At 44.9% G+C, this 25,601-nt stretch overlaps 1 pseudogene, besides 1 other annotated feature; it reads right to left on the bottom strand.

Annotated features, from left to right (window-relative positions):
* RN7SL323P (RNA, 7SL, cytoplasmic 323, pseudogene) lies at window positions 6,894-7,188 on the bottom strand (annotated as a pseudogene).
* Window positions 13,817-13,996: a silencer, noted in NCBI's record as "silent region_19209". NCBI's record gives its function as "represses an Ori minimal core promoter by ATAC-STARR-seq in GM12878 lymphoblastoid cells {active_cell/tissue: GM12878}" and the evidence as "EXISTENCE:reporter gene assay evidence [ECO:0000049][PMID:35858748]".

Raw genomic sequence — 25,601 nt, forward strand, 5'->3', positions numbered from 1 at the left:
TCAGCTTGGACAACATGATGAAACCCCGTCTCTATTAAAAATACAAAAAAAATTAGCTGGGTATGGTGGCACATGCCTGTAATCCCAGCTACTCAGGAGGCTGAGGCAGGAGGATTGCTTGAACCCGGGAGGCGGAGGTTGCTGTGAGCTGAGATCATGCCATGGCACTCCAGCCTGAGCAACAGAGCGAGGCTTCATCTCAAAATAAATAAATAAATAAAAATAAAAACAAATAAGAAAAGATTAATACAGTGAGTATATTGAATATTTGGTGGTAAAGCCTCAGTGAACACTGATGAAGAAATCTTTTTTGTTGTTTTGTTTTGTTTTGAGATGGAGTCTCGCTCTGTCGCCCAAGCTTGAGTGCAGTGGTAAGATCTCAGCTCACTGCAACCTCCACCTCCCGGGCTCAGATGATTCTCCTGCCTCAGCCTCCCGAGTAACTGGGATTACAGGCATGTGCCGCCATGCCCAGCTAATTTTGTATTTTTTAGTAGAGATGGGGTTTTACCATGTTGGCCAGGCTGGTCTTGAACTCCTGATCTCAGGTGATCCGCCTGCCTCAGCCTCCCAAAGTGCTGAGATTACAGGCATGATCCAGCGCGCCCAGCCAAGGAAGAAATCTTTAATTAAAACATATATGCATAAAAATGCCTGAATATTCACACTAAGTGGAATTGACTATAGCATATAAATAGCTTCGGCTCAGGTTTTGCCACCAAATGAGTTCTTAAAAGACCATTTGATTTGTAGAGTCTTTTGGATTTCGGCATTATGGATAAGGGCATGTGGACCTGCACCCCAACAGCTTGAAGAGTATGCAAGACCTTTTAGTCTCAGGGGTTGATTTGATTCAAACGGAGGACATCCAGATTGTGGCCCAGAAAAACCCATTTTTTACATCCACATTCAAAAATGCAAAAATATGTATGCTGCTAATCATATATGTATGCTATTAATCATATGATCTCTTATCAAATACTGCCCTGGCGTAGTCTGAGATGTAGCAGTCCAAGTAGCGGAGGCGGGGGGGTGAATCTGGTGGTTTCAGCTGACCACAAGAGCTCCCAGCATGCTATGGGAGCTCAGATGGTGAAGAAGTGCAGTCCTAGGCTACCTTAGGAGCGCTGAAAGGCCACACCCAAGAAGAGATGCTCGTCTGTCACATGGAAGTCAGACCACACAGGAGCATAACCTTCAGGTCTGAAGCCTTGATGGCAGCTCCTCCAGTCTTACCTGCCCTGGACAAGTCACTTTGGTGTAAGTGTTGGGCTGTGCCTGAAAGGACAGGACTTGCCAGATACCACAGCACCGAAGTTTCTCCATTCGATGGGAGAGAGCAATGAAATCATTTTAAAACATTGGCTCTGTCAAAGAATTATGTTTTGAAACCTGCTTTGTAAAACTCTTTTTTTTTTTTTTCAAAGTAATTGCCCTGGTCTTTTTCTGTCACTGTAATTTAACTTGAACTCATGTCCTCCGTGGGCTAATGGTATTGGTTCCATACAATGGTTAATCCAGTGCTTCCTGGAACACAGGAACTGCAGTAGGTGTGTGAGGGACACAGACATTGGCCTTAAATGGCCTGCTTTATGGTGACAAGTACAATGACATAAGGTACAGCAAGGAAACTGTTACAGGGAGAAAAAAATAGGTATGAAGTATGGTTAGGAGGACAGGAAAGGAGATAAGGAGAAAAAAAAAAGCTTCCTAAATAAAGTGACATTCAGGTTTGGCCTTAAAGAATGGACAGGTCAGTGGCAGCCAAAAAGGAGACATCAAGGAGAAGTTTCAGGAATGGAGTACAGTCAGGGCGGAGGAGGGCAGGGAAATATGGGGTCATCAAAGGACAGAGCCCCCCAGACTTGTAGAATGAGGGCTGGAGCCTGCCTCTGAAACGCCAGGAAGGCACATTGTAATGGATCGCTGGGCGCCCCACCAGGGTTTCTGCTCTGGGGTGTAGATCTGGAATGGAAGTGAGGAATGGCAGCTGACATTGCTAGTCAGGGACCCCCTTTCAGACCCACTGGATGTCCAGGTGCTGAGCGGCGGGAAACCTGGTAAGGCAGCGTGAGGCCACGCCTTGGAGAGAAGGTACTGTCCCAGGTGAGCGTGAGCTTCTCATACCGTGCTGGTGGCAGCACTCCACGGTGGAGGACGGCCTCTCCAAGGAGCGCAGCACAGAGGTGACGCACCATGGCCCAGAGCCACACTGCTGGTGTCCCAGCCCAGCTCTGCATATCGTGCTCAGCTGCAAAGTGGGGATGATGAGAGTCCTTACCTCATAGGGCTGTTGTGAGGAATAAATGCAAGGATATTTCATTTTAAGCCAGGCATATAGTGAAGCCAATGTTTGTGAAATAAAGACATGAAATCAAGAAGTTTGTTGAATCGAGATGTTAAATAAGATGCAATGTCGGAAAAGCATGTTATGAATTCCAGTCAGTGGGCAGTGTGAGGGAGAGATTGAAGGAAATCCTATGAAGAGGCCATTATGGCGGTCCCAATGGAGGAGAAATGAGAGCCCAAGCTCCATGTGGCCTGCTGTGGGAGATGTTCTAGCAGCAGATCCTCTGAGGGTGTTCTCCAGCACCCAGAGATTGAGTTTCTCTGGATTTGGGGTAGGGTGCAAAAGTCTGCTTGTTTTTTGTTTTGTTTTGTTTTTAACACCTCCGCCATCTGTGACATTTTATTTATGTATGTATGTATTTATTTATTTATTTGAGATGGAGTCTCCCTCTGTCGCCCAGGCTAGAATGCAGTGGCGTGATCTTGGCTCACTGCAACTTCCACCTCCTGGGTTCAAGCGATTCTCCTGCCTCAGCCTCCCAAATAGCTGGGATTACAGGCACCCGCCACCACACCCAGCTAATTTTTGTATTTTTAGTAGAGACGAGGTTTCACCACGTTGGCCAGGCTGGTCTCGAACTCTTGACCTTGTGATCCACCTGCCTCGGCCTCCCAAAGTGCTGGGATTACAGGTGTGAGCCACTGAGCCCGGCCTTATTTTTATTTTTCTAGAGATAGGATCTCACTGTGTCTGGAGTGGACTGAAGTGCACTGGTGCAATCGTAGCTCACTACAGCCTCAAACTCCTGGGCTCAAGTGACCCTCCTGCCTCGGCCTCCTAAGGCAGGGACTTCAGATGTGAGCTGGGACTTCTGCGGGAGCCATCATGACATTGATTCTAGTATTCAAATAAGAACTCTGAAGAAACTCAACTAGGGAATTAGATTTTGGGGTTGGCAGCTATTATGAGTTGAATTTTGTTCCCCAAAAATGACGTTCTGAAGTCCTAACTGCCAGTACCTTATGTGACCTTACCTGCAAATAGGGTTAATATAGATGTAACTGGTTAAGATGAGGTCACACTGGAGTAGGCTGGCCCCTAATCCAGTATGACTGGTGTCCTTATGAAAAGAACCATGGGAAGAGTCAGACGCACATAGAAGGAAGACTATGTGAAGAGCCTGGGAGAAGACGGCCATCGCCAAGCCAAGAAGAGAGGCTGGAACAGACCTTCCCTCAAGCCCTCAGAGAAACCAACCCTGCCGACACCTTGATCTCAGGCTCCCTGTCCCCAGAACTGTGAGAGGAGGAATTTCTGCTGTGCGGGCCACCCACTTTTTGGCCCCCAGGGCCCGGGGCAAGGGCTCCATGAGGAGTGGCTGCTCGACACTGCGTTTACATGTGGGTTTTATTATTACTCAGGTGTGGTGAAACCAACAGATGAGGAGACAACTGTTGTTGAAAAGAGAGTTTGCTACTCACAGTTCTCAAGAGGAGGAGGTTCACCACACCATGCAGGCCACACAGGGAAGCACCAGGGTGGGTCAGGAGGCAGAGGGAGCCAAGGGGAAATGTGGGAAAGAGCTTTTATTGTGGTTTCCACGGGAAGGACCCAGCAGGTAAGCAGATTCAGGGTTGGCTGGTTTGAATAGTTTAAGGGCTGGGGCATAGGGGCTGTCCCTAGTCACTTGGTTCTGGCCCTGGGGGATTAGGAGGGCAGATAAAGGTAGAACCCCACAGAGGAGGGGGTGGGAATGGGCGGCTCCGGATTGGTTGCTTTGCATTTGAGTGGTGAGCTCCCCGGTGAGTTGTTTGCTCTCTCTAGGAGTCCGCTACCCTGGAAGGGGCAGTATCTCCAGGTCAGCAGGGCCCCAATGTCAAAGCATCAGAATATAGGAAATAAAAAACATGCTTAAGGCACATGTCAAAGGCAGCAGCAGGGCAGGGGAACAAAAACAGGGCAGACCAGGGAGGGGTTTTGTCCTCAGAAGGGCGTAAGTTCCCTGAGGGCAGGGATTGGGCCACACTGGCCTCTCACCCCCAGCACTTAAAGTGCCTCTGAAACAAGCTATTTTTGCAAAGTGGCAGCAGAAAGAAAGGCTTGCAAAGGGTTAAAGAGAAGGGAGAAAAGGGAATGTCCCTGCTGAGATAGCCAGGAAGGAAGAGGAGAAGGGCAGAGATGCTGGGCCTCAGGTGGGGCCGGTGGATGGCTCCATCTGTGCAGCAGAGGCAGCCACGCAGCATCCTGGAAGCCCCAGAACTGACCGTACACACAGAGCAAACAGCTCAGAACAGCTGAGGGAAGTGTGGGAGAAATGAGCGAATAGAAGTCCTGCACCGTGGTGCCATTAGAGCCACACACTGGCAGAAAGCCGTGGTAGCTTCCCTGGGACATCCTGGTGGTTGCTCTGAGCCATCGGTGTGCACTGCCAAGCATGCACATCCTGCCCAGTGTGGAAGCCGTGCTCTGGCCATCTCCAAGACAGCACTCGCCTCCGATCCTGGATCTTTTTACCAGGATGCTCGTGGTAAAAACAATGTCAGCCAGCACCAAGGACTTCTGCTGAAGCTCAGCATCTTAGTTTGCTAGGGCTGCCATAACAAAGTACCACAGACCAGGAGGCTTCAACAATAGACATTTATTCTTGCCCAGTTCTGGAGGCTACAAGTGGAAATCAAGGTGCAGGCAGGGCTGCTTTCTTCTCGGCCTCTGCCCCTGCCTAGCCCTCCCGAGGCCTTCTCCCTGTGCTTCTCAGTCTTCTCTTCGTGTGAGTCGTGTCCAAATTCCCTCTTCTTATAACAGCACCAGTCCTGGAAGATGAGGGCCCATCCAAATGACCTCATTTGAACTGAATGACTGCTGTAAAGACCCTATCTCCAAATGCAGTCACATTCTGAGGCACTGAAGCTGAGGACTTTGATGTATGAATCGTGGGGACACATTCAGCCCACAACACCCAGTCTCTCAGAAAACAGAGGCAACCAGAGCACATCAGACTGCGCCGATGCGTGAGGACGCCAAGCTTTCCCCAACTCAGCCCTGGCCTCCTGCGGGGACAGTTCACAGCCTGGTCACTGCCATGGCCCCTTTTGCAGCCCAGCCACAGGCCTGGGGCCTGGGTGGCCCGTGTGAGCCTCCCTGAGCCTGGGTTTACTGAAGACTTGTTCTGCCTGGTTTGGGGACCGTTGCATCTCAACTCAGAAAAATGATTTGAGGCAAGGCACAGTGGCTCACACATGTAATCCCAGCACTTTGGGAGGCCGAGGTGGTTGGATCACCTGAGGTCAGGAGTTCGAGAGCAGCCTGACCAACATGGTGAAACCCCATCTCTACAAAAATACAAAAATTAGCCGGGCATGATGGCAGGTGCCTGTAATCCCAGCTTCTGGGGAAGCTGAGGAAGGAGAATCACTTGAACTCAGGAGGCGGAGGTTGCAGTGAGCCGAGATCGTGCCATTGCACTCAAGCCTGGGCGACAGAGCAAGACTCCATCTCAAAAAACAAAAAATAAAAGATTTGTGAGTGCATATCAGACTATGTTGTTCCTAGTAAGTGGGAAGGGGTGTCACTAAAATCACTGCGAACACTGGGTGGTGATGCAGTTTACAAGAAGGAAATGTGATTGTCAGGGCCAGTGCAGTGGCGCGGCCTCACTGGCTGCTTCGTGGGGGCTTAAAACCAGGACAGTTTAAGCCAGAGAGAGAGAAGCGAGAGAGGGGCAGCATCTCCTCAAATACTCCTCTGGCTCCCTGAGCAGTTGCCCAGCTGGGCCTGTCAGCTCCTCAGGCAGCAGGACCCCAGCTTCAAACAGGATGGTGGAGTTGCAACTGTGCGAGGGCCATGCCACCCCCTTGATAGACACTCATCTTTCCTCTGGTCATGGAAAAACACTATGTACACACTCGTGTCAGCCACATTCTTGCGCCCACATAGGCAGAGGTAGTAATTACTGTCCTGAGTGATCACCTTCCACTATGTCATTATTCCAGGGGGTATGTAAATATTCCAGGCTTTTTTTTTTTTTTTTTTAAACATAAAATGATTTTGGGAGCCAGAACTCTTTGCTATTATTTCTTGGCACAATCCTCAGAGATTGTGTATTTCGTTGTCAGTGTTGTTGTTTAAAACCATTTACCTTTCCTAAAGAAACCAGAACTCTTGGACAAGAAATGGGAGTGAATTATTCTCAATCTTGGAAAATGTATAACAATAGAATACCATAATCTCTTTTATCAGTTTATTCAGTCAACCAATATTTATTTATTGGCGAGGCAAAGTGGCTCACGCCTATAATCCCAGCACTATGGGATGCCGAGGCAGGTGGGTCACTTGAGCCCAGAAATTTGAGACCAGCCTGGGGAACATAGAGAAACCCCATCTATACTAAAAAAAAAAAAAAATTACAAAAATTAGCCAGGAATGGCGGTGCGCACCTATAATCCTAGCTACTTGGGAGGCTGAGGCACGAGAATCACTTGAACCCAGGAGGTGGAGGTTGCAAAGACCTGAGATCATCCCACTCCACTCCAGCCTGGGCAACAGAGAGAGACCCTGTCTCAAAAAAAAAAAAAAAAAAGAAAAAAAATTATTTATTATCTAAAATAGAGACAGGATCTCACTACATTGCCCAGGCTGGAGTGCAGTAGCTATTTACAGGTAAGATCCCACTACTGACTGGTATGGCAGTTTTGACCTGCTCCGTTTCCAACTTGGGCTGATTCACCTCTCCTTAGGGAAACTGGTGGTCTCCTACTCCCAGGAGTCCATGAAATTGATGACAAACAGTGCAGACAACTGATAGGCATAGCACACTACAACCCAGAATTCCTGGACTCAAGTGATCCTCCTCCCTCAGCCTCCCAAGTAGCTGGAACTACAAGCAGACCACTACATCCAGCTGTTTATTTTATTTTATTATTATTATTTTATTTGAGACAGAGTCTCACTCTTGTCACCCAGGCTGGAGTGCAATGGCACGATCTCGGCTCACTGCAACCTCTGCCTCCTGGGTTCAAGTGATTCTTCTGCCTCAGCCTCCCCAGTAGCTGTGATTACAGGCATGAGCCACTACGCCTGGCTAATTTTTATATTTTTAGTAGAGATGGCGTTTCACCATGTTGGCCAGGCTGGTCTCGAACTCCTGACCCCAGGTGATCCGCCCACCTCAGCCTCCCAAAGTGCTGGGATTACAGGCTTGAGCCACCACACCCGGCCCCCAGCTATTTATTTTTAAGACAGGTTCTCACTCTATCACCCAGGCTGGAGTGCAGTGGCACAATCATACCACACTGCAGCCTCAAACTTCTGGGCTCAAGCAATCCTCCCACCTCAGCCTCCCAAAGCGCTGGGATTACAATTGTGAGCCCCTGTCCCCAGCTTATATTCACTGATGACCTACTGTTTGTCAAGCCCTGTGCTGGGTGCTGGGACTAGTTGGAATGTACAGTGACTTAGGGTATAATAATCTGTTTTGGTCAATGATGATGGTCTCATAAGATTACAAAGGACCTGAAAAATAGCCGTCATAATGTCTGCCTTACCTGTTTGTGGCGATGCTGGTATAAACAAACCTACTGCACGGCCAGTCATATGAAAGTACAGTGCGGCTGGGCACGGTGGCTCACGCCTATAATCCCAGCACTTTGGGAGGCCGAGGCGGGCGGATCACGAGGTCAGGAGTTCGAGACCAGCCTGACCAACATGGTGAAACCCCGTCTCTACTAAAAATACAAAAATTAGCCAGGCATGGTGGCGCACGCCTGTAATCTTAGCTAGTTAGAAGGCTGAGTCAGGAGAATTGCTTGAACCCGGGAGGCGGAGGTTGCAGTGATCTGAGATCATCCCACTGCACTCCAGCCTGGGCGACAAAGGGAGACTCCACTTCAAAAAAAAAAAAAGGTACAGTGCATAGGATTATGCACAGTACATGATACTTGATAATAAACGACAGTTCCTGCTTTCTGTATTTACTGTATTATACTTTCTACTGTCATTTTATTTTATTTTTTGAGACAGAGTCTCGCTCTGTCATCCAGGCTGGAGTGCAGTGGCACCATCTTGGCTCACTGCAACCTCTGCCTCCCGGGTTCAACCAATGCTCCTGCCTCAGCCTCCTGAGTAGCTGGGATTACAGGCACCTGCCACCACACTCAGCTAATTTTTGTATTTTAATAGAGACAGGGTTTCTCCATGTTAGCCAGGCTGGTCTTGAACTCCTGATCTCCATTGATCCGCCCGCCTCAGCCTCCCAAAGTCTTGGGACTACAGGCGTGAGCCACTGCATCTGGCCTTTATCATTATTCTAGAATGTACTCCTTCTGCCTCAGGCAGGTCCTCCAGGAGGTGTCCAGAAACAGCACTGTTATCACAGGAGATGACAGCTACATGCTTGTCCTTCCAGTGGAACAAGATGTGGAGGTGGAAGACAGTGATATTGATGATTCCCGACCCTGTGCAGGCCTAGGATAATGTATGTGTTTGTTTCTTCTTGTTAAAAAACAAGAAGGTTTAAAAGGTTAAAATTTTTTTTAATAATTTAAAAATAGAAAAAAGCTTATAGCATAAGGATATAAAGAAAATATTTTTGTACAGCTGTACAATGTGTTTATGTTTTAAGCTAAGAGGTATTACAAGAGTCGAAGAGTTTGAAAATTTAAGTTTATAAATTTAAAAAGTTATAGTAAACTAGAGCTAATTTATTATTGAAGAAATACATTGTTTTCATAAATGTAGTGTAGCCTAAGTGTGCAGTGTTTATAAAGTCTACAGTGGTGCACAGTAATGTCCTAGGCCTTCACATTCACTCACCACTCACTCACTGACTTACCCAGAGCAACTTCCATCCTGCAAGCTCCACTCATGGTAAGTGCCCTAGATAGATATACCATTTTTTATCTTTTATGCCGTATCTTTACTGGACCTTTTCTATATTTCGAGATGTTTAGATACACAAACATTTACCATTGGATTACAGTTGCCTACAGTATTCAGTACAGTAGCCTGAGGTACAGGTTTGCAGTCTAGGAGTAATAGGCTGTACCATATAGCCTAGGTGTGCAGTAGGCAGGACCGTCTAGGTTTGTGTAAGTATACTCTATGATATTCACATGACAAAATCACCTAATGACACATTTCTCAGAACATATCCATGTCTTCAAGTGACACATGACCGTATTTTAAAGAATACCTAGGCAGAAACATCACCCCCCCAACACACACACACACACACACACACACACACACACACACACACAAAATCCCATAGTGGTTTATGTTATTTAGCTCTCCAAACAGCAGCTTCCCATCTGTCTTTAAAAATATTCTAACCAGGCCGGGTGCAGTGGTTCACACCTGTAATCCTAGCACTTTGGGAGGTTGAGGAGGGTGGATCACCTGAAGTCAGGGGTTCGAAACCAGCCTGGCCAACATGGTGAAACCCCGTCTCTACTAAAAATACAAAAATTAGCTGGATGTGGTAGCACATGCCTATGATCCCAGCTGCTTGGTAGGCTGAGGCAGGAGAATCGCTTGAACTTGGGAGGCGAAAGTTGCAGTCAGCCAAGATTGCGCCACTGCACTCCAACCTGGGTGACAGAGTGAGAACCATATTCTACATTCCATGCAGTCTTGGTAGGAAATAAAGGAAAAGGAAGTATGAAAAATGTGAAAACTAGATAATTAGATTAAAACTATCAACTCCAAAGAGTCAGATAAAAAATATTTTTCTTCTTCTTAATTAATAAAGTCACAAAGCATTCCTTTAGGAAGTGAATTCACAGATATACAAACTTCCAGGCAAGTGCTATGGACTAAAACAACAGGGCCTTCTTTCTAGGACACAGCCTAAGCCTGAGGCTGAGGAAGAAGGAAAAACCCTGCAGCTCCTCACAGAGGAGAATCTGAGGGGGATGATTTTCCCCCAGGCACACATCCCAAACCAACGCTCAACAGCGAGCGTGAGATTTAAAGTCTTACATAGGTCAGGCATGGTGTCTCATGCCTGTAATCCCAGCACTTTGGGAGGCTGAGGTGGGTGGATCACTTGAGGTCAGGAGTTAGAGACCAGCCTGGCCAACATGGTGAAACCCCGTCTCTACTAAAAATAGAAAAATTAGCCAGACTTGGTAGCGGGCACCTGTAATCCCAGCTACTTGGGAGGCTGAGGAGTGAGAATCGCTTGAACCTGGGAGGCGGAGGCTGCAGTAAGTGAAGATTGTGCCACTGCACTCTAGCCTGGGCGACAGAGTGAGACTGTCTCAAAATAAATAAATAAAATAAAATAAAATAAAATCTTATGTAAATGTGAATGTAAAACTCCACAAGAAAACTCCCATGTTATTACACCAAGGAATGCCAAACAAGGACTGGACTGATCTTTAAGAAAATAATAATACTTTTTATACTTAAAAAAGCAGAGAGAAACCTGTTTTCATTTCTTTGACATACCAGCTTCTATCCAATGTACAAGTTTAGCTTCCAGAGTTCTCTCTCTCTCTCTCTTTTTTTTTCTTTTTGAAATGGGGTCTCGCTCTGTCGCTGAACATGATCTCGGCTCACTGCAACCTCCACCTCCTAGGTTCGAGTGATTATCTCACCTCAGCCTCCCAAGTAGCTGGGATTACAGGTGCACTACCACCACGCCCAGCTAATTTTTGTATTCCTAGTCGAGATGGGGGTTTCACCATGTTGCCCAGGCTGGCCTCGAGGTCCTGACCTCAAGTGATCCTCCCGCCTTGGCCTCCCAAGGTGTTGGGAGTACAGGTGTGAGCCACCACGCCCGGCCTCTCTGGTGTTTTCAGGCATCTATGTTAACTTTGTAATGAACATTTTGGACAGCCAGGCAGAGATTCCAGGGAGAATGGGAATTCTCAGTGAAGACTGACACTGGCCTCTTGGTATTCTGCCCACCTGACAGAGCTGTGGAGAGGCTCGGCGACCCGTTGCTGCACAGGACATGGATTATTTTCCTCTTGCCTTTTGTTGAACTGAGTTGAATTAAATCAGCTGCACAAATTTCCTGGAGTCTCAGCATAGCAGTGAGAATGGGAGCTGAGAAGGGCAGTGCTCAGGCTTTGAATTAGACTTTCTAGGAAGTGTTATTTCTCATTAATCAACTGGTTTTGTTTAGATTCTCAACCAGTGACCCCTTGCTTATTTGCATAGACTGGACAATATCCTTCCCTTTCTTTCCTTGGGTTAGTCTCATACAATTTACCCCATTTGTAAAATCTAATTATGAATCAAAAGCTTCAAAAATATTGGTGGCCAGGCATGGTGGCTCATGCCTGTAATCCTAGCACTTTGGGAAGCCGAGGTGGGCGGATCACCTGAGGTCAGGAGTTCAAGACCAGCCTGGCCAACATGGTGAAACCCCATCTCTACTAAAAATACAAAAATTAGCCAGGTGTGGTGGTGCATCCCTGCAGTCCCAGCTACTTGGAAGGCTGAAGCAGGAGAATCGCTTGAACCCAGGAGGCAGAGATTGCAGTGAGCCAAGATCGCACCACTGCAATCCAGCCTGGACAACAGAGCGAGACTCGGTCTCAAAAAAAAATAAAAATAAAAAATAAAAAATAAATTGGTGCTATTGGACCCAGCTCACCTTCTACAAATCTTAAATATGCAAAATAATGTACAACTGCTTAAATAACTCTAGGCTCAGATGTAGTCATTGCATCACTATTTATGATTCAAAAATATTGAAACACAGCCAGGCACGGTGGCTCACGCCTTTAATCCCAGCACTTTGGGAGGCCGAAGCAAGAGGGTCGCTTGAGCCCAGGAGTTTGAGACCTGCCTGGGAAACAAGGTGAGACCCCATCTCTACAAAAAATTAAAATTAAAAAAAATTAGCCAGGCATGGTGACACATACTTGTGGTCTTAGCTACTCAGGAGGCTGAGGTGGGAGAATTGCTTGAGCCTGGAAGGCAGAGGTTGCAGCAAGCCATGATCACACCACTGCACTTCAGAATGGGTGACAAGAGAGAGGCCCTGTCTCAAAAAGAAAAAAGAAAAAAAAAATTGAAAATCTCTAAATGGCTAATTCACCCAATCACTATGTAGTAAAAGTCAGCTATGTGTCCAGAATCAAGCAATGCACTGAGTATACTTAAGGGAGAATGTTAGTCAATTATAAAGAGAAGGTTAATTGAACTATGTAGAATATTTTATATAAATGTAAGAAAGTGGAAAATGTTCATAGTGTATTGTTAAATAGAAATAATCAGAATATACATTATTTAGAAAAAATAATTTGGCCTATTTTTAAAATAAAGTTAAAAAGTATGCCAAGTAATAAAAATGAAAACAGAAAATAAGAGAAGAAAAATAAAACATTTCGAGAGAACACACTGAAATAATAATAAATATTTTTCTTCTTCCTTTCATGTCTCTTTCAGTTTTCATTATTATATAGCACTTTAGTAAGAGAAATGCTTATACAACAACAGGGCTAAATTCTATTTGTAGACTAAGCAAAAGCTGTCTATTAAAAAGTAAACAAGTTGCTAAAACAAACAAAAATCCACGATGACAGGGATTTGTCAATGGGACACAGGAGCCAAGTAAAAGAGCCTCCAGGGGCCAAACGTGGAACAGTTTGAGTAACAAGATAAATAAAATAGTATTGGATTATAATCTGTAGTGTAAAATAAATATCCACGAGTCCACACTAGTATAAGTAAATAATTCAATAAATAAATAAATGGGAGAGAAGAGAAAAATTTCCAGTGCAGAAGAATTCAAATAATTTATGTAGATATTTTACCCTCAAGGAGCTGAAGCATAGCTCCCTGCTCCTTAGGTGCTCACTGTGCAAAGTGGCTTCCTTCCAGTGTGGAGGGAGGGAGGACGGTAACTGTGAAGTGGAGAAACCTCACAAATGCTTCCCCAGCCAGGTGATCAAGGTCAACATTAACAGTCATCTGTTATGTGGATACTATGCACCCTTGACATGATGTGATGAAGACACACTACCTCTGTCGCCTTCATCCTGTAACCTCTTGCTAATCATGAGAAAAACACCAAACTCCAATAGAGGGGCATGCATACCCAACCAGTAGCTCTCAAAACCAGCAAAGTCATCAAAAGCAAAGAAAGTCTGAGAAACTGCCACTACTGGAAGAAGCCTAGGGAGACATGACTTGATGACTCAAATGTAATGTGGGATCCTGAGACAGAAAAAGGACAATAGGTAAAAACTAAGGAGGTCTGAATAAAGTGTGGACTTCAGTTAATAATAATGAACAAGGCTAAGCACTGGGGAGCACGCCTGTAATCCCAGCACTTTGGGAAGCCGAAGCAGGAGGATGGCTTGAGCCCAGGAGTTTGAGATCAGCATGGGCAACAAAGTGAGACCCCCCCACCTCTACAAAAAAATTTAAAAAAATTAGCCGGTGGCACATGCCTGTAGTTTCAGCTACTTGGAAAGCTAAGGTGGGAGGATTGCTTGGGCCCAGGAAGTTGAGGCTGCAGTGAACCATGATGATGCCACTGCACTCCAGCCTGGGCGACAGAGCACTAAACCCTGTCTCAAAAAAAAAAAAAAAAAAAAAAAAAAAAGGACTCTTGGTATGCAATTCTAGTCAATTCCTTCGAGGAACAGTGCCACCTAGTGTTCTGTCACATAAATGACCAGTGGTGGTTCTGGTCACTTGACTTTCCACAGCTGTACATTACCTTAAGCCCTCTTCAGAACTGAAAAGAATAATGATTCGAAAATGTGTTTCCCTCCACCCCTCAAGAAAGCATTCATAATTTCAAATAACTGCTGGGTAATTAAATTTATATTACTTGGATTTATTCACAACCTCATCCTAGAATCTTTCTGTTTATAAAATACCTATTTCTATTTTCAAAAATCCAGTCCAAAAATAATGTGAATGAAAGAGATGTTATCAGAAATACAAGCTCACAAAAAAGTAATATAGTAATAACATATTACTATATAAATAATACAGTCATTTTATATTTATATTTTTATTTATTTATTAAAATAGAGATGGGAGTCTCTCTATGTTGACCAGGCTGGACTCAAACTCCTGACCACAAGCGATTCCTTCATCTCAGCCTCCCAAAGTGCTAGGATTACAAGCATGAGCCACCGGGCCCTACCGAGTCAATTTTTTAAAGTTACAAAATAGCTTAAGCTTTATAAGATGGTTGATCTCAATTATAAGTGTCAGTTCTAGAAACTGTAAAGCTACAACAAGTTAACATTGTTATTTAACTTTAATCCAACACTCACATAAAGTTCCCTTGCTTAATAACTGCATGGTTATTTTAATATCAGATTGTTGTTTATAAAGTTAAACCTTTATTAATAAACAGTAAGAGAAAAATGAATTCGATCAAAGTCTAAAACATGCAAATGAAAAAAATCAAATGATTAGCTAATATATATTGTTTATTGAACCTGAATAAATTTCAAAATATGTTATAAAAGAAAGAAACACGGCTGAAATAACTGGCACCTTGCAATTGCAAATTAGCAATGTAGCAGTTGCTTACAACATAAATGGCAAGAATTGACCTTTTCCCCTTATTTCCTATACACTTGGCAATATGGAATAAAAAACCCCACTCTAGTTAATTTGAGTGCCACTTCTTGCCCTCTTCTGACCACAGTGACATACTGCGATAGGCCCTTAAAGAGATTATCTCCAGCCGGGCATGGTGGCTCAGCACTGGTAATCCCAGCAATTTGGGAGACTGAGGCAGGAGGATCATCTGAGGTCAGGAGTTCGAAACCAGCCTGGCCAACATGGTGAAACCCCATCTCTACTAAAAATACAAAAATTAGCTGGGCATGGGGGCAGGTGCCTGTAATTCCAGCTACTCAGGAGGCTGAGACAGGAGAATCGGTTGAACCCAGGAGACGGAGGTTGCAGTGAGCTGAGATTACACCACCACTGCGCTCCAGCCTGGGCGACAGAGCAAGACTCCGTGTCAAAAAAAAAAAAAAAAAAAAAAAGATTATCTCTGTCACACTTTGGACTAAGAGATGTACCCATGTGTAGGAAATCATCTTCAAATAAGTTTTTTTTAATTATTATTATTTTTTTTCCAGATTTCACTAATACTTAGTTGGTAGAGAGTGTAAAGGCATTGCTAGCAATATGTCCAGGTTATTCTAGGTGTTTTGGTTTGGCTTTTCACATAATAATTTCTTTTAGATTGGAGCTTAAAAAAAGGTTTCCTGAAAGCAAGAAACTTACTGCCTAACTTAAATAATGACATGTGTCTGCTAATAATTTGTGCTATTAGTTGACATTTTTGCCCTGGAAATATTAAAACTATTCAGCTAATATACAAAAATCAGTAGCATTTTTATAGGCCAACAGCCAATAATCTGAAGAAGAAATTGAGAAAACAATCCCATTTACAATAGCTACAAAAAAATAAAATGCCTAGCCAGGCGCGATGGCTCACACCTGTAATCCCAGCACTTTGGGAGGCCGAGGTGGGCGGATCACCTGAGGTCAGGAGTTGGAGACCATCCTGGCCAACTTGGTGAAACCCTGTCTCTACTAAAAATACAAAAAATTAGCCAGGCATCGTGGCGGGCGCCTGCAGTCCCAGCTACTCGGGAGGCTGAGGCAGGAGAATTGCTTGAACCCGGGAGGTGGAGGTTGCAGCAAGCCAAGATCGCGCCATTGCACTCCAGCCTGGGCAACAAGAGTGAAACTCCATCTAAAAAAATAAAATAAAATAAAATAAAATAAAATAAAATGCCTAGGGATATACTTAGTCAAAGAAGTGAAAGATCTCTACAATGAAAGTTAGAAAAACATTGATGAAACAAGTTGAAGAGGACACAGAAAGATGGAAAAGTATCCCACGCTCATGAATTGGAAGAATTAATATTGTTTAAATGTTTATACTACATAAAACGGTCTACAGATTTAATGCAATCCCTATCAAAATACCAATTACGTTCTTCCTGGAAATAGAAAAATAAATCCTAAAATTCATAGGATCACAAGATTCCAGCTAGCCAAAGCAATCCTAAGCAAAATGAAAAGTTGGAGGCACCACATTACCTGACTTCAAGATATGCTGCAAAGCTATAGTAATCAAAACAGTATGGAACTGGCATAAAAACAGACACATATACCAGTGGAACCAAACAGAGAACACGGAAATAAATCCACACATTTACAGCCAACTCATTTTTGACAAAGGCACCAAGAATATATGTTGGGGAAGGACAGTATCTTCAATAAACAGTGTCGATGACACTGGATATCCACATGCAGAAGAATGAAATGAGACCCCCTAACTCTCACTATATACAAAAAACCAAACGAAAATAGATTCAAGACTTAAATGTAAGACCTGAAACTATCAAACTACTGAAAAAAAATTGGAGAAACTCTTCAGTACATGGGTCTGAGCAAAGATTTATTGAGCAAGACCTCACAAGCACAGGTGACCAAAGCAAAAATTGACAAATGAGATTACATCAAGCTAAAAAGATTCTGCACAACAAAGGAAACAATGAACAAGGTGAAGAGGCAACCCACAGAATGGGAGAAAATGTTTGCAAACTACCCATCCAATAAGGGATTAATAGGCAGAATATATAAGGAACTCAACTCAATAGCAAAGAAACAAATAATCCAATTTAAAAATGGGCAAATGATTTGAACAGACATTTTTCAAAAGAAGACATACAGGCCCAGGCGCAGTGGCTCGTGCCTGTAATCCCAGCACTTTGGGAGGCCGAGGCAGGCAGATCACGAAGTGAGGAGTTCGAGACCAGCCTGACCAACCTGGTGAAACCCCATCTCTACTAAAAATTAGCTGGGCGTGGTGGCACATGCCTGAAATCCCAGCTACTCAGGAGGCTGAGGCAGGAGAATCGCTTGAACCCAGGAGGCAGAGGTTGCAGTGAACCGAGATGGTGGCATTGCACTCCAGCCTGGGTGACAGGGTGAGACTCTGTCTCAAAGAAAAAAAAAAAAAAGACGTACAAATGGCCAGCAGGTATATGGTAAAATGACCAACTGATCACCAGTGAAATGCAAATCAGGGCCGGGCACGGTGGCTCACACCTGTAATCCCAGCACTTTGGGAGGCTGAGGCAGGTGGATCATGAGGTCAGGAGATCGAGACCATCCTGGGTAACATGGTGAAAACCCGTCTCTACTAAAAATACAAAAAATTAGCTAGGAGTGGTGGTGGGCGCCTGTAGTCCCAGCTACTCAGGAAGATGAGGCAGGAGAATGGCATGAACCCAGGAGGCGGAGCTTGCAGTGAGCCGAGATCACGCCACTGCACTCCAGCCTGGGCGACAGAGCGAGACTCCATCTCAAAAAAAAAAAAAAGAAATGCAAATCAAAATCACAATAAGATATCATTTCACCCCAGTTAGAATGGTATTATCAAAAAATCAAAAAATAATAAATGCTAGCAAGGATGCAGAGAAAAGGGAACACTTGTACCCTGTTGATGGAAATGTAAGTTAGTACGACCACTATGGAAAACACTATGAAGGTTCCTCAAAAAACTAAATTAGAGTTACCATAGGATCCAGCAATCCCACTGCTAGGTATATACCCCAAAGAAAGGAAATCCATATATCGAAGAGATGTCTGCACTCCCATGTTTATTGCAGCACTATTCACAGTAGCCAAGATATGGAAGCAACTTAAGTATCCATCAACAGGTGAATGGATAATGAAAATGTGGTACATGTGCACAATGAAATATTATTCAGCCATAACAAAGAATGAAATTCTGTCATTTTCGGCAACACGGATGAAACTGGAGGACACCATGTTAAGTGAAATAAGCCAGGCACAGAAAGACAAATATCACATGTTCTCACTTGTATGTGGGAACTAAAAAGAAAATAATCTCATGGAGGTGGTGAATAGAATGGTGAAGGAGAGTGGGGACGTGGATGAAGGGGAGTTGGTTAAAGGGTACAAAAATCTGTTGATATGGAAGGGATAATTTCAAGTGTTCATCAGCACAATAGGGTGACTAAGTATTACCGCAGTACAAGAATTTGGACAAAGTTGATTTGACAGACAAACTTGATGATTACTGGAAAATTTTCCTTTCCAACTATGCCCTTGCCCTGAACCCCCTTCTTACCTGGAGCTTGCAACTTACTTTCCCCGTTCAGGGTGACTCTTACCCCACGCAGATCCACCCTGAAATCAGGACTGCAAAGAGGTGCCCCTGAGCTAGGTGCCTTTCCATTGTCCACAGCACCAGATAAGTGATGCTTTGTTCTCCAGGTCTTGTCTTATTCATGGTGACATTTACCATATGGTATAAACACAGCTGGTTTTCCCTGATAGAGAAAGCTGAATAGTTTTCCCGGTGATAGAAATGAACAAAAAGTGAAGCCATCTGAGAAAGTGATGCCTCTGACTGAGGAAATAAGGGCATATAGGACAGTCAGCTGTCTGGTTGGGCAATGGCTCTGACATGCACTAGGAATCTGCAGAAAACCAAGAAGCAATTGACAAGTCTCTTACTGCAAGGCTCTAAACAGTGCAAACAACAGGTAAAACTACTAAAGAGGCTACACACAGGACACAGGTGACCTGCAACAGAGCTATCAGGCAGAAGGCCCTGTTTGCACCAATGCTCCAGACAAGTCCCCAGGGACACAGATCTAAGGGCTTCCTCCTGCCAGCTACTCCCGGGGTACAATTCTTTTAAGTCCTTCCAGAAACATTTTCCTTTTCACAACATGAACACATCAGAACAACTATCAATGCTCGATCACGCTGCTCTCCCTCCTGAGCTAAAGCAGGTCCAGGTATAAGCTGGAGCCAATACCTGACAGAGCCCACAACTGCCCAAGGTACAAGAAACACTCCTGAGACTGACCCTCTAGGCCCCAGAAGGAGAATAGAGCCTGGGTTTTATGATGTCTGAAGATAGAGAACTTTTGTTTTGCAGTAACACAGGTTTTATGAGTATAGAGTTTGCTCTTTCGTCTCAAATTCCAGGACATGGTAAAGAAAAGACTGGGACTATTTTTGTGTTATCATGCTAATAAAAGCATGGGCAATGGTGCATTTCTGTGGAACTGGTGTTGTAAATGCTCTGTGCTCTGATGGTTTCCACTGATTTCACGGTTTCCAAACCTTGAGACCTATTGGTGTCAAGAGTGTTGGCACGTGGAGAAGAGAATGAAACAAGCCTCCAATGCTTGCAACAGAGAGGCAGTTTTTCTGGGCTGGGAAAGGTGTACAGGACAGAAAGGAAAAATGCTGTGAGATGGAGATAGACTCCACAGCCAAGTCTCACAGAAATAGAAACAACGAAGTGTACTGGTAGGGCCTTCAAGAAGAAAGGGCTGGAAGGAGCAGCCTTTTGCTGTGCCAAGTTGTGCTTACTAAGAACAGTGAGTGGGTCCTTGGTGAGGAAGACAGAATTCATCTCCTCACCAGACAGCAGAGCCAGCAAAGGGCCAGGAGAGCTGACAGGCCATGATGAGATGCAGCAGCAAGCCCAAGGGGCACGCTACAGGGCTCCCTGCAGTGATGTGTGGGCTCCGTGGGACTCTCCAATCACCGTCCACCAAGGACAGAGGTGACATTTGTTGTTACTGCATTTTGTTTGTTACACCCCATCTCTAAAGTGGAGATAAAGCCATCTACCTCAGAAGGCCATACGCAGGGGCCAGTGCATGTGAAGATGTTTAACACAGGACCTGACACAGAACAGGCACTCAAAAAAGATTGTAATTTTCTTATCTAAGAAAGTGATGATAAGGATACTTGCAAGTGAGTAATGCCAGGCTATAACTGTCATGAGTATGTCTTCCTTATTTTGTTACGAATATGTTTGTGGGTCTGTATACACAGATTATTTCTTTCCTCTCTTATTCCCTTATCATGTAACATAACATGCAGTGACTTTAGGACAGGCGCCGTGACTCACACCAGTAATCCCAGCACTTTGGGAGACCGAGGCTGGTGGATCACCTGAGGTCAGGAGTTCGAGACCAGCCTGGCCAACATGGCGAAACCTCTTCTCTACTAAAAATACAAAACTTAGCCAGGCGTCGTGGTGCGCAGGCAGGCAGAGGTGCGTGGGGCAGGCAGAGGTTGCAGTGAGCTGAGATCATGCCACTGCACTCCAGGCTGTATGACAGAGTGAGACTCTGTCTCAATTTAAAAAAAATGAAGGCCGGGCATGGTGGCTCAAGCTTGTAATCCCAGCACAGCACTTTAGGAGGCCGAGGTGGGTGGATCACGAGGTCAGGAGTTCGAGATCAGCCTGACCAACATGGTGAAACCCCGTCTCTACTAAAAATACAAAAATTAGCAGGGTGTGGTGGCGGTGCCTGTAATTCCAGCTACTCAGGAGGCTGAGGCAGGAGAACCACTTGAACCTGGGAGGTGGAGGTTGCAGTGAGCCGAGATTGCACCATTGCACTCCAGCCTGAGTGACAGAGCGAGACTCTGTCTCAAAGAAAAAAAAAAGTATTGACTTTATATCAATATTTAAGTATTGTTAATTTTACGTCATAGCATTTAATTTATGAACTATCAGGAGAAGAGTAAACATCACTCTAGGACTTTGCCTCCTCCTCCTAGGAAGGAGTTAGTGTGTTTCTCCTGGTACAGTGGAGTTGTATCATGTTAGACCCAAGTATGACCTTGTTACTCTCTTTATTTGGAGATGAAGTATGGTTTAAGGAGATGGTAAGAAGTGGACAAGAGAAGGACTGGGCTGGTTAACTTTTTGTGTCCACTTGACTGGGCTGAGGGAAGCTTATATCGTGGGGAAAACCATATTTCTGGGTGTGTCTGTGATGGACTTTAGAGGGGCTCACACTGGAATCGGGGAGGCTGAGTGAAGAAGCTCCCCTTCACAGCATGGGTGGGCGTCACTGATCTGCTGGGGGCCTGAACAGAGCAAAAGGTGGAGGAAGGCGCATTGGCTTTCTCTGCTTGAGCTGGGACATCCACCTCCTCCTGCCCTCAGACATGGAGCTCCTGGTTCTTGGGTCTTCAGACTCGGAAACCAGAACCCTCAGAACTCCCACGGTTGCAGACAGCAGATCATGGGACTTCTCAACCTCATAATTGTGCGAGACAATTCCCAGAATAAATGTGTGGGGGGTGTGTGTGTGTGTATTTATATACACACATCTTATTGGTTCTGTTTCTTTGAAGGACTCTGACTAATACAGCAGCCAGTGGGCATATTTTGTCAGGTGGGGCTCCAGCCAAGTGAAATATGACTTCCCCCCTCCCCTACAAGGCAACCAGGCACCCTCAGGCCATGACGTGGGGAGCATTTTCTACTCCTCACCTGCGCCTTACACCCAGGCAGCTCCCTGTCATCTCCTCTCTTCTTTGCAGAGTGCCCCTAGGATACCCAAGAATGAATTCCTCTCAATGGTGCCACCGCTGGGTCCATGCTTTGGGCTTTTGGCCTCCAAAACAGGATTCTCCTCAGCTCCCACTTCTTGCTCTCTCCAAAGATGAATACAAGGCCCTTTCTCCTTTAAAGATTTCTTATCATAGAGGAATAAAAATTACAAAATAGTCACCAACTCCTGACATAGTGACTGCTGGTCTGTAGTGCCCAAATTCTGAGCCAACAGAGAGAAGGTCCAATGGACCTGGGCTGTCCCTTCATGTCCCTTGAGACAGTGAGCTTTCAACAAGTACACCTCCCTTCACTCTCAACATCAGAAAGTGGGGTGGATTTAGTGGAATTTTCTTTGCAAAATGATTATAAGGGTCAAGAGCTGTGGTTCACATTTACAATCCCAGCATTTTGGGAGGCCAAGGTGGGCGGATCACTGGAGCTCAGAAACCAGCTTGGGCAACATGGGGAAACCTCACCTCTACAGAAAATACAAAAATTGGCCAAGTGTAGTGTCATGTGCCTGTAGTCCCAGCTACTTGGGAGGCTTAGGTGGGAGGATCAATTGAGCCAAGAGGCGGAGTGAGCCAAGATCACACCTAGTGAGCCAAGATCACACCACTGTACTCCAGCCTGGGTGACAGAGCCAGACCCTGTCTCAAAAAAAAAAAAAAAGTTTATAAGGATATTTATGAAAGGACATATGGTTATATACTTTTATAAATCAACTTGTAAGTCAATTTAAAAATAAGTAAAAATTATAGACAACGAAAGTGTTTCCTTATGAATGAAGTGTGATTTCAGTAGTAATGAAACTCCTCACCATTTTGGTGTTTGTTGAACAATAATTTCAGAAATTGTTCACTGGTTTTACAAAATGTCACACATAACTGTAGTTATAAAGCTATCCCTTAAGAATTGGGTAGATTTAAAACATTACAGCGTTGTCATGACTTTCAGTGCCATGGGTAGGTGGGTTGAGGTCCCAGAGATTTATAATGGAATGAGGTGTGGAGTGTGCCTCACTACAGGTGTGCACACATTCCACTGACTGCTCAGGCAGATTCCTGACCCAGGGTTATGTTATTAAATTTTCAGGGAAAAAAAGTCCCCCTCAGGAATCTCTTCAATGTTGAAATTAAATTGTGCAATGATCTAAATGTGCTCTAATAAATGTTATACCAATCCTGAATCCCTGGGTTTAATAAAAACATAGAAAGATAGATTGTGCTGTGAGTGAATTCTGGGGGCTGAGAAACTAGAGACATTTCAAAGAAACAGGATGGGTGGAGAGGGAGAGGGGACCCTGAGAGCTGGTCTAAAACTCCACTCCCAGTGAGGGGCCACAGAGTGCCAGCGCAGGACACTGTAGTCTCTGATCCCACAAAACGGCCCATGAGAAGGAAAGCATGAGCACCCTATTTAGAGAATGTGGGAAATGGAGCCAGGGGTGTTGGTCTGATTCCCTTGGTTCTTGGGCAGATCCAGTGAGGAGGAGGAGAAAGAAGACCTCAATTCCAGATTGATTTTGTTGCTACAGTGTATTGTAGACACCCTCCACAGCACCCTGGGAGCCTCAAGGGAGAAAGAGAAAAAATAAGCAAAGCAATTGGCTCCACTGAGTGAGGCTGCTTCTCTTTGGTCAAATCCAGGACATTGGACCGTGGATCTCCAACAAAGGAATCCACAACCCAGGAGATGCAGGGAGGGAATTACAGGCAGGCAGTTCTGTTTGCTCCCCATGGCTCTCCCAGCTGTTTTCACGTGAGGGCATTTTCACTTTTTATTGATTACATGCACAATCCGATATTTTGACATGTCTATGCCATCATGTCACTGCAACTACGATCAAGATGTAGAACATTTCCATCATCCCAAAGAGTTCCTCCCTGTTTCTTTGCACCCTCCACCCTTATCCCACCCCAGGCAACCGCTCCTCTATCTTCTGTGCCATAGTTTTGCCTTTTCTAATTTTGCAGACATAGAATCATATAGTGCGAAGACTTTTTGCTTCATTTTTAAGGAAGAATTACTTGGGGGTTCACCTGTCCTTTCCTGGGTCCCTGTGTCCCTCAGATGTCATCATGGTTCTGGCAACCCTACCCTCGTGGTTGCAAAAGCCCCCCAGTCACATTGACAGCTGGCTGCCTTGCAAGGTCAGAGCAGACAGGGGTCTTGCATGTTCTTCAGAAGGGAGCCTCTAGAAGACTTCTAGGACTCTCTCAGCATAACTTGGACAACTCTTCACTCTGCCTTTTCAAAGATCTCCCTCCCAGCCTGGCATGAGGAGGGAATGAAAAGAGTGATGTCCAGGCACAGCGAACTCTATCCTGGCCTAAGAATTTAGCAAAGGTGACAGAGGCACTGAAAGCCACCATCAGGTTACATGGAGTGAGTGTGTTGGGCAGAGGGAATAAAACACCAGTGCAAAGTTGGGTTTGTCTGTTTCCCCCCGAAATCACACATCAACTTAAATTCTCATCAAACAAAGCATCTTTTTGAAAGACTTGTCCTGAGTGAAGAGAGTGGGAGGAAAATTCTTCCTCAGGATTAAGTCCATGGTGGGGCAGAAGAGGCTGAAGAGCAGAGAGTGATATCATCTGAAGAGAGCTTTGACAGACAGGCCAGGCTCAGCCAATGACAGGCTCCTGCCCCGACCTCTGAAAGTGTGGAAAACTCACTCTGGGCTGAGATGGGTGCAGCCCATGGGGGCCCCAGAGTCAAGTGAAGGCATAGAGAGAAGCACTCCTGACAAAATCAGATTGTTTATGTTCTTACAGATGGACCTTCTTCCAAGAGGAATCAGCAGAGCCAGAAAGCAAGAGGAGCCAGAAAGCAAGAAGGTTGGATTTTGTTTTAATCCTTTCTAGGCAAAGGGATAGAAATCAACAGGTGCAGTTCATCCCTCTATGTCAGGAACTATGCTAAGTGCTTTACGATGAGAACATATCTATGTTCTCATCAAATTAAAGAAAAAAATAGTTTTTCCAGTTTCTAAATTGTTTATTTTTATTTTTCTTTAAAGACAGGGTTTCTCTCTGTTGCCCAGGCTGGAGTGCAATGGTGCAATCAGAGCTCACTTCAGCCCCCACATCCCAGGCTCAGGCTCCAGCTTCAGCCTCCCAAGTAGCTGGAACCATGGGTGTGAGCCACCATGCCCAGCTAATTTTTATATTTTTTGTAGAGACGGGGTCTCGCTATGTTGCCCAGGCTGGTCTTGAACCCCTGAGTTCAAGCGATCCTCCTGCCTTGGTTCCCAAAGTGCTAGGAATACAGGTGTGAGCCACTGCCACTGTTCCTTTTTCTTTTTTCTTTCTTTTTTTTTTTTTTTTAAAGAAGGGAACAGCTGACGTGGCAATGAAAAGAAAATACTTATTTTTTTTTTTTTAAAGTAAAAGTGGAAGAATAAAGAAGGGATGAGAAAAGCTCACCGTTTCTCCACACAGGCTGCAGGCTTATAGTGGCACGCTCTTATGCTCTGCTTTGTTTTGACCAAACCAGCTCTGTAGGATGGATTGATGAACAACAGAATTTTTAGATTCAATTAAGGAAGGTAGAGCTTTTTCCAAGGTCCTTATAGAGAAAAGGGTGTCCAAGAGTCCAAGATTAGCCTCACCAGTCACTCCCAGAATCACACAAGAGAGAGCTATCCTTAAGCCAATTAAGCCAAGAAGAGCGATAAGTCATACATTTCTGTGGACGTTTCCATCACATACAGTTGACCTTTGAACAACACAGGTTTATGCTGCAAAGGTCCACAATATATTGCTTGCCAGTATATTGGTGTGTGCCTGTAACCCCAGGTACTTTGGAGGCCAAGGCAGGGGGATTGCTTCAGGCCAGGAATTCTAGACCAGACTGGGCAATATAACGACACACCGCATCTCTTTCCTTTCTCTTTTCTTTCTTTTTTTTTTTTAGATGGAGTCTCAATCTTGTCACCCAGGCTGGAGTGCAATTGCG

The sequence above is a fragment of the Homo sapiens genome, chromosome 8 (genome assembly GCF_000001405.40).
Source record: "Homo sapiens chromosome 8, GRCh38.p14 Primary Assembly".
Taxonomy (NCBI): domain Eukaryota; kingdom Metazoa; phylum Chordata; class Mammalia; order Primates; family Hominidae; genus Homo; species Homo sapiens.